Here is an 18,365-nt window from a genome sequence, read left to right on the forward strand (position 1 = left end):
TTGGCTCTTAATACAATACTAGTTTTTGAAATGAATCAAATGCCATGTGCCTGCTTTTCTTTTGGTCCTTGACTTTGTTTTAAAACTGTTCATGCCACCTCAGGAAAGAGTCTGCCATTTTGTTAATTGCTGTGGTGAAATCATTGCTGTGGTCAAAGTAGCTAACTTTGAAGATCATACCATGAAGATTTTAGTTGGCAGTGATCTTAAATTAGCTAACCACACATGTGATCAGATATCTCTGCCTTACACCTAAACTGCCAACATTAAGGTAATATAATTACATAACCCAAAGATTGATCATAAGCATGTGACTTCCTCAACCAATATTATTAAACAGGCTTGACTTGGCTATTTTACCTTGCAAGGATCAAAGATTAAGATTTAGACATCAGGATCACTAAAATGTGAAATAAAAAGGCAATGAATGAATTCAAGTCATAAGGCCAAATATTCTCAGATGGTTACATGAGAACCAGCTTTTGTGAGGCTTCAATACTATTCTTAAAATAGGTGGTGAACACTCCTATTCAACACAGTATTGGAAGTTCTGGCCAGGGCAAACAGGCAAGAGAAAGAAATAAAGCGTATTCAAATAGGAAGAGAGGAAGTCAAATTGTCTCTGTTTGCAGATGAGATGATTGTATATTTAGAAAACCCTGTCGTCTCAGCCCAAAATCTCCTTAAGCTGATAAGCAACTTCGGCAAAGTCTCAGGATACAAAATCAATGTGCAAAAATCACAAGCATTCCTATACACCAATAACAGACAAACAGAGAGCAAACTTATGAGTGAACTTCCATTCACAATTGCTACAAAGAGAACAAAATACCTAGGAATACAACTTACAAGGGATGTGATGGACCTCTTCAAGGAGAACTACAAACTACTGCTCAAGGAAATAAGAAAGGACACAAACAAATGGAAAAACATTCCATGCTCACGGATAGGAAGAATTAATATCATGAAAATGGCCATACTGCCCAAAGTAACTTATAGATTCAATGCTTTTCCCATCAAGCTACCATTGACTTTCTTCACAGAATTAGAAAAAACTACTTTAAATTTCATATGGAACCAAAAAAGAGCCTGAATAGTCAAGACAATCCTAAGCAAAAAGAACAAAACTGGAGGTATTACGCTACCTGACTTCAAATTATACTACAAGTCTACAGTAACCAAAACAGCATGGTACTTGTATCAAAACAGATACAGAGACCAATGAAACAGAACAGAGGCCTCAGAAATAATGCCACACATCTACAACCATCTGCTCTTTGACAAACCTGACAAAAACAAGCAACGGGGAAAGGATTCCCTATTTAATAAATGGTGTTGGGAAAACTGGCTAGCCATATGCAGAAAACTAAACTGGACCCCTTCCTTATACCTTATACAAAAATTAACTCAAGATGGATTAAAGATTTAAACATAAGACCTAAAACCATAAAAATCCTAGAAGAAAACCTAGGCATTACCATTCAGGACATAGGCGTGGGCAAAGACTTCATGACTAAACACCAAAAGCAATGGCAACAAAAGCCAAAATTGACAAATGGGATCTAATTAAACTAAAAAAACTTCTGCGCAGCAAAAGAAACTATTATCAGAGTGAACGGGCAACCTGCAGAATGGAAGAAAATTTTTGCAATCTACCCATCTGACAAAGGACTAATATCCAGAATCTACAAGGAAGTTAAACAAATTTACAAGAAAAAACCCCGTTAAAAAGTGGGCAAAGGATATGAACGGACACTTCTCAAAAGAAGACATTTATACGGCCAACAAACATGAAAAAAAGCTCATCATCACTTGTCATTAAAGAAATGCTAATCAAAACCACACTGAGATACCATCTCACTCCAATTAGAATGGCAATCATTAAAAAGTCAGGAAGCAACAGATGTTGGAGAGGATGTGGAGAAATAGGAACGCTTTTACACTGTTGGTGGGAGTGTAAACTAGTTCAGCTATTGTGGAAGACAGTGTGGCAATTCCTGAAGGACCTAGAACCAGAAATGCCATTTGACCCAGCAATCCCATTACTGGGTCTATACCCAAAGGATTATAAATCATTCTACTATAAAGACATATGCCCACATATGTTTATTGCAGCACTGTTCACAATAGCAAGGACTTGGAACTAAGCCAAATGCCCATCAATGATAGACTAGATTAAGAAAATGTGGCACATGTATACCATAGAATGGTATGCAGCCATAAAATGAGTTCATGCCTTTTGCAGGAACATGAATGAAGCTGGAAACCATCATTCTCAGCAAACTGACGCAGGAACAGAAAACCAAACACCGCATGTTCTCACTCATAAGTGGGAGTTGAACAATGAGAACACATGGACACAGGGAGGGGAATATCACACACCGGGGCTTGTCGGTGGGTGGGGGACTAGGGGAGGGATAGCATTAGGAAAAATACCTAATGTAGATGACAGGTTGATGGGTGCAACAAACCATCATGGCACGTGTATACCTATGTAACAAACCTGCATGTTCTGCACATGTATTTCAGAATTTAAAGTATAATAAAAAAAACTTTAAAAAAGATAGTGAAATTGAAGGATAATCTTACATATTTTCTTCATCTCTTTGTATCCCTTTTTCATATTCTAAGGGGGCAAAATGTAGCAGAGGAAGAGCATGATTTACCATATGCATATGAATTTGAATCCCAAGTCTGCTACCTATTAGCTATGTGACTTTGGAAAATTGTGGTGACCTCTCTGTTTCCAGTTTCCATATTTCTTCAAGAGAAACAGCATCATAATATGTCCCATGTAAGGGTTGTAGATAATACATACAAAATGCCTGGCACCTATGAGGCACCCAATAAGTGGGCAGCTGAAATAATATTCATTATTGAATATTGCTTTTATCAATATCATTCTATCATTATATCAATATCATAATATTAATTATAGTAATTCAATATTAATGAGTATATACTGATATACTTTTATGATTCTCAAAGTCTAATCTTTTGCCAGTGGCAGAGACCCACCCAATATTTTTTTCTTCTGAGAAGTCTGAAAGTCCTTGGGGAAGATGAGTCACCTTCAGAAATTAGAAAAGAAAGCAGAGCAGCAAATTGTGAGAACAGTTGAGGAGTCATCCTTCAATAGGTAAAGTTCATATACACCAGGGTTAAGTTCCAGGAGTGCCACTTAGAACCTGCCCCTGTCAGACTCCTCTTCCTCTCCCAGGTATGCTCGGGTCAATGATTTTACTACTATTAGGGTGTGGGATGATTTAAAGGGAAGGAAGGTATATGGGTGTGCGTGTGCACATGTGCTTACAAGTAAAATTATAATTCTTGAACAATGTTGATTCTGTACTTTTTTATGTGAATATGGGAAGATAGTTACTAGGGGAAGGGAGAAATAAAACTTCTTTTTCTGGATTAGGTAGGCAGAACCAGAAGTTCCTTTGCTTAAAGTCATTTTCTCCATATTCCTCACCAATTGGAGGATAAGTTCTGCCAAGTTCCTCTTCTGGGTAAAGAATGCCCTTGGAGAGGTCAGGCGTAGTGGCTTATGCCCATAATTCCAGCACTTTGGGAGGCCAATGCAGGAGGATTGCTTGAGCCCAGCAGTTTGAGACCTGCCTGGGCAACCCCATCTCTACAAAAAAATTTTTTAAAAGTTAGCCAGGTGTAGTGGCACATGCCTGTGGTCCCTTCTACTCAGGAGGCTGAGGTGGGAGGATTCCTTGGGCAGGAGAGGTCAAGGCTGCAGTGAGCTGTGATCACACCACTGCACTCCAGGCTGGACGACAGAGTGAGACCCAGTCTCAAAACAAAACAAAACAAATACTCTTGGAGTGTTAAACATATTGGTCATTCCTAACTTCTTGCCATTATCAGTTTAAGAAGTTAGATTTAGGAAAGTGGAGTTTTTCAGCAAGGCTTGGAAGAGGAGTTTCTTGGAAAAACAGAGAAAGCAAAAATTGGAGGAAGCAGGATGTCAGCTTCTTCTTGCTTTTGACCTTCTTCCATTTGTGCTTTCTCAATAATACGATCTCATTTATTTCGGTATTTGTGGCTGCCCCTACTTTCTGGAACCCACTAATCCATCTTGCCAGAATTCCAAAGCATCCCATTCTTCAATTTCCCTTTCTTTAACATGCAATTTCCCACACAAAAAGTAAAAGATTGTAATGGGAGAGAAAAGAAACATCCACTTTGGTCATGAAATCCATCTGGATCCTGATAAATGGTAGATATTTCAGAAAACTTTAAAAATCATGAGTTTTGAGGATCAGAGCAAAGGCACACGTAACTCAGCATGTCTAATGATGGTGGCCAAAAATCTGTCAGTGGAGTCATCATGTGACTAAGATTAGAAGGGTTATGCAACTGTAAAGCTGGAAGGAACTTGTCTAGAACAGCGAGCCCCTCGTTGTATAGATCACAGAGCATTTAAACGGTGAGAGATGTCAGAAATCACCTAGTATCGTCTCCCATATACAGATGCAAGAACTGAAAATCAATGAAGTGATGGAATTTTCTCAAAGCGTAATCTCTTGTGAGTGGCAGAGACCCACCTCAAATCCAGGTTGCTTAATTTCAATAGTGTCAGTTTACCAAACGTTTATTAAGTACCTCTTTGGGCCATGCACTGTCTGAGGCCCTGGTTTGAAGGAGCACTGGGATGAATAATACACAGCTCCTGCCTTCTTGGGGATTAAGATCTCCTTGCAGGGAAATACACATTCTCAAATATTTATAATATAGTTGTTTTGAAATAATAGAGCAAACATCAAGGTCTGGGAAGGACAGAGGAGGAAGCAATTATTTGGCTGAGAGAAGTTGAAGGTTTTTCTTTCACAATAGTGCTTCTCATACATTATTATCTTCTATTCCATTAATTGCTTTTTTTTTAATGGGAGGTAAACAAAACCTCTATTTGCTGGACTGTTTTAATAGGTGAGTGAGACTAGACAACAGGACCCCTAAGCTAAAAGGCAGAAGAGCCCATGCTTGCTGGTGAAATGGTGCATATAGCTTCTTCCTCTCCTCCCCTAACCAGGTAGTCTTTGCAGATGAACTTCATAGGCTTCCCCTTTACACACCCCCATACCTGCTTCCACACAGACCATAGGGGGAAACACAGGATATCAGACAGAGCTACATCAAAGACCTTTGTAGCTCTGCCATCGGCAGGGTGATAGGAGAGACGCAAGGTGTGCAGGGTCATGACCAGTGAGTCACTTGGGGCAGGTCAGGTCAGCAAGAGACAAGAGTCACACTTGGAGGAGACCATGGAGATAGAGAGTGCCAACTCTCAGTGACAGGCACTGAGACCCTGAGGCCCAACCATTTCATCCCAACATGTGTTTGAGAAGCCACCTGCTTGCTCACAGAAGTAGTTTCAACATTTTCTCTCCAATTTGGGTCAAATGCCTCATTTAGTAAAGAAACTCTGCTTTTCTAAAATATGAAGTGAACTAATTTCTGTTCAGCTTTTTATAAATTTTCAATCATGAGGTCCAAATTAAAATGCTTTTCAAAGTATGACTAAAGTTGCAAGCTGTGATACATGATTGGTTAAATTTTATTTTTCACATTTTAAGAAAATAATTCCATATGTTTTTGCCAGCTCATTGAACTATCTTGGCAATGAATAGATCAGTATATCTAGGAATGATTGATACCATATGATTCTTGGGTATCATATTTTGATGATATTCTGCAATGTTTCAAATTACCGAAACAGAAACCCACCCACACACACTGAGGCTCAAAATTTGCAGTTTTTGTCTTGATGGCTACATTTAGAGTTTAAACATCATCATTAAAATTTTACAGGTGACATATCAAGAAAAATTAAGCCCACTAGTTGTGTCTCTTTGAAGGGAAAACATTCCTTCATTATAATGAATGAAATTGTATGCTAGGTATGAATGCTGGTGACCTCTAGAAAATGAACCACTGACCCATAAGTGGATGAGAATCAGCCAGAGTAAATGAGGCAGAAGTTTTCCCAGCGTAACTGGGCATGCTGGCAGGGCAGATTCTTGTTATAATTAAAAGAGATAGAGTGGTCAATAGGGAACATTTAATAGGAACAAACATGACTACATTGCCAAACTATTTTTCTGGTCCATTTTTCATTCTCATGTTATGCCATATATCTGGGTTTTAAAAGTGACACAAGCATTGCACATGAAACTAACACACATACAAGTGTACAGCAGAACCCAGGAAAAATTCAATTAAAATATGAACACCATCAATCACCAACTTGTTCAGAGCAAATCCCCATCTAAATCTGTACTGACCAATACAGTAGCCATAAAAATGAGCATGTGACCCTATGCAAATCAGACATCCCCTCCTCCAGACACTGCATATATTCCTGGCTGGTGTCTACCATACTTAGGGACCTCCTCTTTTGGCTTTGGAGCGCCCCACCCCCGCGTCTCTGTACAGGGGAGCCATTTTCTTCTGCCTTCTCTTTTCTTTCTTGCCTATTAAACTCTCTGCTCCATAAAACCACACACAAAAAAATGAGCATGTGAAATGTGGCTAGACTGAATTAGATGTAATGTAAATGTAAAATACACTCTAGATTTCCAAGACAGCGTCAAGAAAAAAAAAAACAATGTAAAACATCTCAATAAATTTTTAATTATATGTTAAAATGATAATATTTTGGATATCTTGGGTTTAAAAAAATCATTAAAATTAATTTCATCTATTCCTTTTTACTTTTGTTTTCTAATATGGCTACTAGGACATTTAAAAGTACATATGTGGCTTGTGGCTTGTAATATATATATATATATATATATTTTTTTTTTTTTTTTTTTTTTTTTTTTTTTGAGACAGAGTCTTGCTCTGTCACCAAGGCTGGAGTGCAGTGGCGAGATCTCGGCTCACTGCAAGCTCCACCTCCCGGGTTCGTGCCATTCTCCTGCCTCAGCCTCCCAAGTAGCTGGGACTACAGGCGCCCCCGCCACGCCCGGCTAATTTTTTGTATTTTTAGTAGAGACGGGATTTCACCAGGTTAGCCAGGATGGTCTCGATCTCCTGACCCTGTGTCCTCCCAAAGTGTTGGCCTCCCAAAAGTTGGGATTACAGGCGTGAGCCACTGCACCCGGCCTGCTTATAGTATATTTTTATTGGCCAGTGCTGATATAAATGAAACATTTAGGTATGCAAAATAGTGTTTATCCACCTAACAGAACTGAAATATAAATTCCTATTAATTGATAATAACATGACAACACAAAGAAAACTTGCCATGAGACCAGCCTGGCCCACATGGTGAAACCCTGTCTTTACTAAAAATACAAAAAAAAAATTAGCTGGGCATGGTGGTGCACGCCTGTAGTCCCAGCTACTTGGGAGGCTGAGGCAGGAGAATCGCTTGAACCCAGGAGGGGTAGTTGCAGTGAGCCGAAAAAACTGGCCACGAAGTGATTGTTACCTTGATAAGTTACCTTTTCCATTCCTCTTACACTGGTAAGATTCTGTGAATTCAAATGTTTGCTTAATAACTTTCTAAAGGCACAATAAGAAAGAAGACATTCTGGGAAATGAATTGTGCACTAATTGTAAGTTGAGCTCTGGAAGAAACAGAAAAGAGTCATCCACCTGAGCTCTCTGGAGGTCCCTGCTTTTTGCTCCAAGGAAGCCACTACTGAGAAAGTAAGGTTAGATCTTTTATTCATTTATATGAACAGGGCTTATACATTTCTATCAGGAAGAATATCAGAGGATTCTCATCCAAGCAAACGTTGATGAAACATCATTGACAGGGTAATGACATTCTGAATGGAAAAAACGTGAACCACAAAGCTGCGTTGCAATGGGAGTGTAAACTTTGAGGGTGCAATGTGTCCCAAAGGCATGTTGATTAGAAAGTTTTAACACTGAGAGGGGTGTTTATTTAAATGAATATTATCCTCTTTGGGGAGTCCATTGGATCTATTTATTTTGGTTTTCCCAACTCTGTCTCATGCTGCATTGAAAAAGATACTTTTATGCTTAGGAAAAAAAAAAAAGCTCTACTGTAAGTATTCTTAGCTGGGCCTCACCAAAATGAATGAGATTTTTAACATGTATAGTATATACAGTACACTTAATATGTATAGTCTATTGTATATTGATGGAGCTGTCACTGCAGAATGAACAAGTAAATGGAAGATTTTCTTCACTAGGCTAGGGGGAGAATGTCAGGGGTATCTGGGAGCTAATGAAATTCTGTGAGATAAGTGAGGGTACTGTTTAAACCCCACCAGTTCTGCAAGTCCTCACAGAAAGCAAAAGGAGGGGCACCCAATTAGAACAACTTCATCCTTAGACAGGACAAGCATAGGACACAACCACAAAAATCATTCGCTAAACCCCAGAAGAATGTGGCTGTGTAAGGATTAAATGAGACAAAGCATATAAAGTGCTTAGTATGTAGTAAGTGTTCAGAAAACATCTTATTATTGTTTTGAAACATGTCCTATGGCATGAGTAAAGTTTATCTCCATTTCACTGTAGAAAATGTAAAGGCTCCAGAAAATTCACCAGTACCTTCTCCGCTTTTGTCTAAATTCATCTGTGAGAAGCTTTACTCACGCTTTGGCTGCCGGTGACTCACGGTTAAATCATCTCTCTCAACTTTTTTCCTTTTCGGTTTTTTAATACAGTTGCATATCACATGACATTCTGCTTTGTTTTCTTCCTTCCCCTTCCCCAGGAAAACTAAGCAACTCTAACAGCCCCATTACCTTAATGAATAAAAGCCATTCAGTGAAAAGAACTGGTATCCACTTCATCAATTAAAAAGCTAACAACCAATTCTTGGAAATTTTCTGGAGCCCTATGAAAATTCATATCACTTAGTAACCTATGTGAGCTGAAGGTTGGTGTCCAATGACTGCTAAGAAGATATAAGGAATGTTGCAGAAATATAAATAGACCAGCACTGAAATTTAATTAGGCACTGCATATGTTAATAATAAATTCAATTAATTTAGCCTTCTACCTATACTAGAAAGAAAAAAAAAACCTGGGCAAAATAATAATTCATTTTAAATGCTTCAGTTGGTAACCTCCTTTCCTGAAGAGTGATTTATGCAGTAATTTACTGACTGTGTCTTCATAAGGTTGTTCCAAACCAGCCCTTCTGAAATAATAATAACTTCTGAATGTGTGTTGTAAGAGATATAACAAATGACTTCCTATTAATTTTCATTTAATGAGTTGCCTATTCACATGGTAATTTTTAAAAATTCTCTTCTTAAGATAAACAGGTTATAAATACTGTGGATTACACTTCCATTTCACAAAAATCACAACAAGAAAATCTCTCTCATATTCTCTACATGATTTGCAGGTCAATCAGTTTAAAATGTTCTATACTAAATAGGCATCCATTTCTTTCCCAGTTAGCACAGCAGATCATTTTAAATTTCTATAGCCAAATGATTCCAAATTAGTTAAAAATGAAAACTGAATATTTAGCAGCAGGAAAGGTCTTAGCAGGAATAATGGGAGGGAGTGGGGAGCAGGAAACAAAATCATGAGAAAGGTGGCAACCTGGTTAAATACGGAGCCCATGACCTTGGTTCTTTTTATAAAGAACAAAAAGCATAAAGATCATTCTTTACAGCTTTCCTATTTCCCCAAGTTTACTTTTTTAAAAAGACTCCATAATTTTTTACATAAATATTAATACTTAAGCATCTTAATTGCCAATATTTCCAAAAACCTTAATTATGTAACAATGAATTAACTCTATATTATAATAAAAAGCAAGTATAAAATAATAAAAACTAGGAAGAAGAAATTGCTCAGAGTCATAGGTTTTTCATATGGTTCACACCGATTTAAAAAGTCCTGCAGTAAACACGGCAAAATTCTCAAATATAATTCCTCGCAACACTGGGAAGAGTCTGCCTAAAGCATTAAATAACTCAAATGCAATTGCTACTTACATGAGAACCGAAAGGGCCTTGCTCCCAACCCACACTGCCTCACACCCTCTCCGTGGAAAAGCCCGTACTGCATTTCACCCATAAACTTGTCCAGCTCCTGCCCTGAGGCATTGACGAGCAGAGCTCCCGTTTTGCAGAGGACAGTGGCTTTGATCCACAACGGTGTCCCCAAGGCTGTCACAACTCCGAGGGCACATGCAAAACTGAACACTCCGGCCATGCAAAAAATGATTTTCTTCTGTTGGCTTGGCATGATGAGAAACGGCTTCTGTGAGGGCGAGGTTCAAAAACAAGACCTTTGTGAGCAATGGGAAGGGACTGCCTCTTTGACTGCATTTATTACGGAAGCTGAACGGACAGCTCCCAGCTGAAAAGGCAACTTCACCATCGACGGTTCTCGCCAGGTTAAATGTCAGTAGATGAAGGCCTCATCATCACTCATACTTGGCTTTTCTCCTTTTCTGCTGCTTCTTCTCCCTAATTGGAAATCTTTGGACTAAGAATCTGTAAAACAAGTCTTTCAAACTGCCTTCAAGTATCTCCTCTGTGTCACTTGGTAACAAAGGTCGAAGATAACAGATGGAGTCCTCAGTGTAACTTGATAAATGTTTCCCTTCCTCAGCCTTTTGTCTGATTGGGTGAGTTGAAACTTTCAGAAACAGGCTTGAATCTGATGGTACATTTTCAGCAACTTGAGAAGTTCACTTATCGATGTTTTTATTTTTGTTTTTTGTTTGTTATTGTTTTTGGTGGTGGGGGAAGGAGCTTTAGCAGAGGTAGGGAGAACATATGTACCTGTATTGATAGTTGATGTCAAAAATTTTTAATTACAGCAGGATAAAAATATTAAACAGAATTTGGTCCTACACGAATATTAAGTGCTCTGGATCAACCATGGGTCCTTGTCCTTCCAACTTAATTTCTCCCAGATCCATGGTTTATACCTAATGTATCAATAGAGAATTTGATTCAAATTTTTCTTGGCATACAGAAATATGAAAATGCAGGAGCAGATATCTAGATTTCTAAATGCTTTCCTTTAACAGGCTTAGCTGCTTTAGGATAATAGCAAGGGAATGTGTTTCTGGGTCCAAGGAATACCAGGATCTGTAAAGATAAGGGCATATTGATGGAAAGAGGGATGGTGGTCAGATAGGTGACTCTATGGATTCATCATAAAAATGCACAGGTCTCAGCAAAGGTAATCTGTTTGGGAGACTAGAGACAGTTATGAGCAAAGATTAAGCAGCAGGTAGGTCTGGTTAAACGGTCAAGACCTGGAAACTAAAGTTCAGAATTCAGTAACAGCTTTTTAACTTTGCATTTCCAATGAGATTCCTCCTTCTACAGACACAGGACTGTGTGTGTGTGTGTGTGTGTGTGTGTGTGTGTGTGTGTGTGTGTGAAGTGTCTAGTGAATGTTTATTATATGCCATGTTATTGTCCTGAGCTCTGACCTACAAAGTTAATGTTTAGTAAGAACTTATGTCTGGCAACTTGTGAAGTATTCTACCTAAATTATCATATGTAATTCTCATAATTAGCATATAAAGTAATGAAGAAGAGGAAGAAGAAGAGGAGGGAGGAGGAGAAGAAGGAGGAGGAGGAGGAGAAAGGAAGAAGGAAGAAGAATAAGAAAGAAGAAAGAAGAAGAAAAAGCAATTATTCGTATCTTATATATAAGGGAATTGAGGCTCAGAGAGTTTAAGCAACTTGCTGAAGAGAGTAGTGGAGCTGGGATTCAAATCCAGGTCTTCTACTTCTGAGGTTGATGTTCTATTCCAAGCAAAGCCCCTGACCTTGAAAAGATGGCAAACATTTCAGTTTGGGTTGGGTTCGTCTAGGAGTAACAGGGGCAGACTAGCCCATTATTAGTTACACATATTGAGTGTTTGAAGAACACAGACATCAGTAAATAGAACTTTTTCAGTTGGCCAAAAGCACATGTGTATGCTAGCTTCTATTCTTTTGATCCACCTTTAAGCATGACAGCTTAGAGGAAATTAATAAATGAAGACTTATTTCACACCATTTTCAGCATAAATGAGTCTCTACATTATGCACACTTCGAAGGGAACTTTGAGGTATAGACTCGGAGTACTGGTAAACTTCTCTCACAGCTCGCCTCTCCTAGGAGTCGCAACAGCCAGTCTCGTTAAGGACAGACAACTAAGTATAGAACTCATTCTAGAATGCCAATGTACCTTCGGGGAGAAGAGGGGCAATATAAAACATGGCCACAGAAGAACTGGGCATATAGAAGATTCCAAAGAGGCACTTAAAATAAAGTTTACAATATTAGTAAGTCTTTTTTATTTTGTATAACTTAACACAGAATAAGCAACTCATCCCAGTTTATTTGGCCTTCCAATGAATTCACCACTGGATTTAGAATAATTGCTAGAACACAGAATAAGCAACTCATCTCAGTTTATTTGGCCCTCCAATGAATTCACCACTGGATTTAGAATAATCGCTATCATGGTCCACTAGCAAAACAAGGGGGTGCCAGTGCCCCTGATAAGTGGTTATTTGGGCATATATGTGCCACAGTCACCCTAGAAAACTTAGTTTAAGATGTCTAAGCAGAGCTGAGCTTACTAAATCAACATATTCTGTAATTGGAAGAGACAGAACATTTCCAAAGCCTGGGAGAAGAAATCACCTACAACTTAATCAATACTATTAATAACCTCTACTAAAGGATATGGCAAGAGAAGGATAGTTAGCATAGGACAGCGGTTTAATTAACCCAAACTCAGCCAAGTATATCTAAAGCTGTCCAAGGAGGAAAGCCTTGATTATGGGTGTAGAGAGCAATTAGATCACATCAGTTGCATCAGTTTGCATCAGTCTGTAGCGACATGTTCACTCGTCTGTAGAGACATGGGAAAAATAAATACAACATACTGAGTTACTCTTATATCCTGAAGTTAGGCCCTTCCTAATTTTTATTGTTGAAATTTTCTTTCTTTAATGAGATAATGGTAGTTGAATTTTTAATGATTTTATTTGACAAATTTAGAAACTGGCAAACCTATGTCTACTCCTGATTTAAAACAAAACCAAATCAAACCCACTGCTCTATGACATAAAAGATCCCTGAGTGGAAAGGGTGAGACTCACCCTTTGAGGCCTAAAACCTCACCCTTTGCTTTGACACGGTGGTTCTCAGTTTTGCTGCTCATTAGAATCACTTGAGAAGATTTTAAAAGTACTGATGTCTGTGTCCTCATCCCTGAGATTCAGATTTATTTGATTTTAGAGTATGGCCTTAGCGTCGAATCACCCCAGGTGATTGCATTGTGCAGCCAAGGTTGGAAGCCACTGCCCTTATCTCCTTTTCACATGGCTATCTACTGATTACAAACTAGGCTTTGCAGGCATCTCAGTGCTGGAATGCACACAGACATGAGCATCTGGGTCGCTAGAGAGGAATATGCTCATAGCAAATTAATAAATAGGCACTACCATTTACAGCTCAAACTTTCCTACATTTTTTCAGCACTAGGTTTCAGCATATCCACAACAAAAGACCAGGCCCCGATTCATAGATTTACCCCCAAATCACCATATGAATATCAATGGTGCTGTATCCTGTTCATGTGAGGCAGCCCCCCTCACCTCTTCTCCATGCAGCTTCCTTTCAAACTTCAGCATCAGCCACCCACAGGCTGCGTAGTAGTGTGTGTGATCCACCCTCTGAGAATGATATAATGGAACCTGGCAGTCATTATGCCTGACAGCCTTCTTTTGAAATTTCATCTTAAATGTCTTGAATGACAGTGATGACACCATTTTCCTTGCAGTCTCTCTGAGAATTTGAGTCATTAATGTCAGCAAGTTTTCACCAAGTATCCTGCTGAAATCTTTACTTCTCTCAATCTTAATAGGAATACATTCGGTGACATAAGAAAATGGAACTAGGCCTCCCCCTCCTCTGACCCCTTTCAGGTGCTGGATAATGATATAATTCTTCAGAGTGACTAGAGATTCTGTAGAGAAAGGAGCACAATTGCAGACTCTGTTTTCACTTCCAGTGTAGCATTTGTGCCTCTTCTCACACTAACTTGGCTGCATCAGTTTTTCCTTATAACCATTTGAAAACAAAAGAAAAAAAGCAGCCCCATTACAAAGGGATGCAAATTCTCACCTGGTTTGTTCGCCAAGTATAAGAGACAGTATAGCATGGCATGGGAAGATCCTGTCCAGGGTCTATTTCCAGCTGTATGGCTAAATTAAGAATTCCTTCTCTGGCATTAATTTTACATATTTATGAAAAGAGTGGTCTGGGCTGCATAGGTGATTCTCAAATCATTTTTAAGAAGAAAAACCATTGCCTCAACACAACTTGTGTGAAATAAGACAAAAATCGAGCTGCTATACTGGGAGGGTGGGTGATCAAGGAGTTGTCACTGGGCTCCCCAGCTCCCTACTCCCTACAGTGTCCTATCCCCAACGTGAAAGACAGCTTCGAGAAGCACAGTTTGGCTCCTTTAGTTCCCATTTAACTAAAGAAAAAAAAATTTAATAAGCCATAGAACTACAGTTTGGCCATTTGCTAGATTATGTCTCTTTTTTCTTTGCTGTGCTAACCTGTTAGCTATTACGGAATATTGCATTGCCCAGGGACACTGCATGGCTGATTATTCCAATTATTAATTTTTAGATTATTTAATGAGAGGTTCTATGTTTTGTCTGATTTGTCACTGGTAGTACTGATTTTGATTTTCCTCCAAATGGATCATTATACTCCAAGGCCTCTCTAAGAGAGATTCAACAAGGGTCTATCAAGCTTCCTATTCTAAGACAAGAGGCCTTTGTAAATCTACCCCATTTTTCTCATCTTTAAAGCAAAATCTGGCAAATTTGATTGACGTGCCTTGACTAATTCAAGTTGCTGGTGATCCTCAAGTAGCATTGTAATTTTCTAATGACTGTAAAGGAAAAAAACACTCCATGGAAAGAATTGATTGATTTATTAGAGAGAAAATTACCACATGTGCTAGACCTTGATTGCAGCTAATATTTGTAGAGCTAATTGCTTGAACTAGAGGATTAAAAGGATTGAGGGAAAGGAAGAAAAAGAAAACAAAGTTCTCTTGGAATACAGATGAACCCGCAGTGGATTTGGACTGAGAGGAGAGAATTCAGTACAGGGATTTTTGGGGCTGATGATGGTTGTGGAGACATTTAGAATAAGTGAAAGAATTGTGCTTCTGACACAAAAGCCACAGAGAGGAACCAGGGAGTGGAGTAAAGTTGCTGCCCATGCTGTCTGTTAAATAAGATCTCGTGGCCGGGCGCAGTGGCTCACGCCTGTAATCCTAGCACTTTGGGAGGCCGAGGAGGGTGGATCACGAGGTCAGGAGATCGAGACCATCCTGGCTAACATGGTGAAACCCCGTCTCTACTAAAAATACAAAAAAAATTAGCCGGGCGTGGTGGCGGACGCCTGTAGTCCCAGCTACTCGGGAGGCTGAGGCAGGAGAATGGCGTGAACCCGGGAGGCAGAGCTTAGAGTGAGCCGAGATCGCGCCACTGCACTCCAGCCTGGGCGACAGAGCAAGACTCCGTCTCAAAAAAAAAAAAAAAAGATCCAGTGTGACACCTTCGGATTTGTCTGGGTTTCTTGTTGGTATCTCACATTAAGGCTATGTTGATACTTAAGCTTCACCCAGCAGAATGTCTGAGCTCCTACAGAAAGGAGGAAAAAGTTACCTAACCTGAAGAGGTGAAGAAAGAAGGCATAGTTTAAGACACATCCTTTAACGATAATAGGCAAACCACATTCCTAGCACAGGGAAACAGATAATAATTGTCCTCATTGATATAACTTAGGATAGATGTGCTAAAATAGTACATTTTGGGGTAGTTTGATTTGGTGATTACCAACTTTTTTTTGTTTGTTTGTTTTAAGACAGGGTCTCACTATATTTTCAGGCTAGTCTTGAACTCCTGGGCTTAAGTGATTCTCCTGCCTCAGCCTCTCAAGTAGCTGGGACTACAGGCACGCACCACAGATATAAACTCTGTGACAGCCACATTTGAACAATGTGACCCACCCTCTCTAGCCTACTTTGATTAGGATTAGACATCTAAATCAACCAGATTGTGTCTCCTGAAAATGTAAAAGTAATATTAAGAGACGCAAGTCAAATCACTGGAAGCCAGTCTGCAAAAATTGAGAAGGAAGCAATTTTTTTTCCCCACCAATAAAGCCTTGAACTGCCCTATAGTGCCCAAATTTATTGTTCAGTTTTTCTCCAGCTGTCACCATTCTCCTTCCCGGCAGTCAAGTGCAGTTCTCTGTTTTCAAAGTTCTCTTTGTCTTTTACTTGTTTTGTCTTTTTCCTCTTTGTGTGCATTCTAAAAAAAGCTTCTGGGAGGCACTGATTTTCAGCTCTCCCCACCATCTGGCTCTTGGTCCAGGGCACTAGGTGAAACAAACTGTGATGGCTGCCTAGTGAAGGGACAGGTGGTAGCTACTCAGACCCTATGTGAGGTACATATATATATTGGTATCAACCGTCCGGAGTCACAAGGTCTCTGTGGCCAACACTGCCCTAGCTTAGTGGGAGCTTTCAATCAAGCTGGCCTTGTCTGGTCCTTCCTTCATCAGGGATGAATATTGCCCTTTTATACTGTCACTAAAGGTGTTCAGGGCCCCACCCTCTTATCCTGGAGGAACCATAAGAGTACCGGGCTGCTGAACTTCCTGGGATTGACTTCATGGAGAGAAGCAGAAGGAGTAGGGAGGGCTGAACTGGGTCCTGGAGCACAGACAAGCTGGGATGCTGTTGGTCAAGGCTGCTGTCTGGTGGCGGGCCTCACTAGCTGGCCACGAGAAGGACTGGATAGCAGCACAACTGGGTAAAATCATCTGGCACTTGACTTCCACTCTAGCTCCAGCTTAGTTTCCCAATACTCTCCCTTCTGACTACTGGGTGCCTTCCTCCTTTTTACTTTCCTAGACTACAGTGACCTTTAGCAAATTGGCAGGCAGCAATGTGTGTCCTGCTTAGATCTGACTCTTTCTGCCTCCAACCCCCAGGGGAGATATAAAGGAATCAGACATGTAGAGAAGGGAGAACACACATGAATTAATATTTCAAATATCTTCTACCATAACTGTTCTAGATGCGCATGCTTTCTCCTCCTTTAGTTTGATTATCAAGAATAAATACTTTGCCCATCTCTGAGAAGATGAAAATCCTTAATGAAGTGCATATCTGTGTACCTTCGAAAAATAATACTGTTCCTTTGGTAAAATATAAGCCAGTCACTAGGGCAGTGAAGTATTAAAACTAAATATTTTAAACCCGATGGCCAAGACAGTTTTATTAAGCACTAATAAAGCAAGACAAAATTTCTAGGTTGAGTCCTTTTCCAGGAAATTCAGGTTGAAAGGAATATAAGATCATTATTAATTTTTACTTGTCTGTGTATATTTGATATGCACAGTCCTTATTTGAAAAAATTATGTGAAGGCAGATTGTAGTTAAAGAAACCCCAGAGGGTATTATGAATGCCTTACCTATAAGGTTTCTTTCCAAGATAAGCAGCCATAGCTAGGTAAGGAGGTGGTGAGCACTGGGAACCCTAAGCTGGAGTGGGAACTGTCTATGCAATTACCATAGTTGGGAGCCAAAACTCTTGGACTTGTCATGTACTGAAAATCACCAGCAAGCTAGATCAGACATGGCATTGTGTCTTTAAATGATGTATAATGCCTGGGCACCGAGCCATGGGCACTACTGAGAATAGATGGAAATTCAACAAACCTGAAGTCCTTATGGAGGAGAACTAAGCTTTACTCTGTGCCTTCACTTCTACTGGAATGAAAGCTAAGCTAGCTGATGACATTGTCATATTAATTATACAAGAAATATTTTATCATTATGAAAAAGATTATTTTAAAGATTTTAAAAGGAAAACCATATCATATGCAAAATTTATTAGATATGTATTATAGATCTAAGAGTAAAGCCTAAAATATAAAACTTCTAGAAGAAAACATAGACTAAGGTCTTTGTTGCTTCTGGTACAGATTTCATAGATAAAAAGAGTATGAACCATAAAATTAAAAACAAGTTGATAAATTAAAATTTTCTATTCTTTGAAAAACACTAAATAATGAAAAAAACAAGCCACAGACTGGGCAAAAGTATGCGAAAAATATATACATGATAAAGGACTTGTATACAGATTATATAAAGAAATCTCTAAATTTAGCAATAAGAAAATGAATACCCCAATTTAAAATGGGCAAAATATTTGAAAGATACTTCTTCAAAGAAGAGACATGGGTAGCAAAGAAGCCCATGAAAGGATGCTCCGTATCATTAGTTAGAACTGCAATGGGATATCACAGCCTACTTATTAAAATGACTAAAATTTAGAAAACAAACAAAC

At 39.1% G+C, this 18,365-nt stretch overlaps 1 protein-coding gene and 1 long non-coding RNA gene across 5 annotated transcripts in view; one reads left to right on the forward strand and one right to left on the reverse strand.

Annotated features, from left to right (window-relative positions):
- Positions 1–10,494, reverse strand: part of CLRN1 (clarin 1) — a 46,837-nt gene extending 36,343 nt beyond the window's left edge. For 3 of the 4 annotated variants that reach the window (NR_046380.3, NM_174878.3, NM_001256819.2), the window contains exon 1: positions 9,951–10,222. Coding sequence is in view for 3 of the 4 variants with exons in the window: in NM_174878.3 (NP_777367.1) it covers positions 9,951–10,203 (253 nt within the window). In the remaining variant the exon portion in view is untranslated. Of the gene's footprint in view, positions 1–9,950 lie in introns of all 4 variants that reach the window. The other variant, NM_001195794.1, reaches the window with a different exon arrangement.
- CLRN1-AS1 (CLRN1 antisense RNA 1) overlaps positions 10,173–18,365 on the forward strand; it is a 108,049-nt gene continuing 99,856 nt past the window's right edge. Inside the window, exon 1 of the long non-coding RNA NR_024066.2 lies at positions 10,173–10,588. This is a non-coding gene — a long non-coding RNA (CLRN1 antisense RNA 1). The remainder of the gene's footprint in view (positions 10,589–18,365) is intronic.

The sequence above is a fragment of the Homo sapiens genome, chromosome 3, assembly GCF_000001405.40.
Source record: "Homo sapiens chromosome 3, GRCh38.p14 Primary Assembly".
In the NCBI taxonomy this organism is placed as follows: Eukaryota; Metazoa; Chordata; class Mammalia; order Primates; family Hominidae; genus Homo; species Homo sapiens.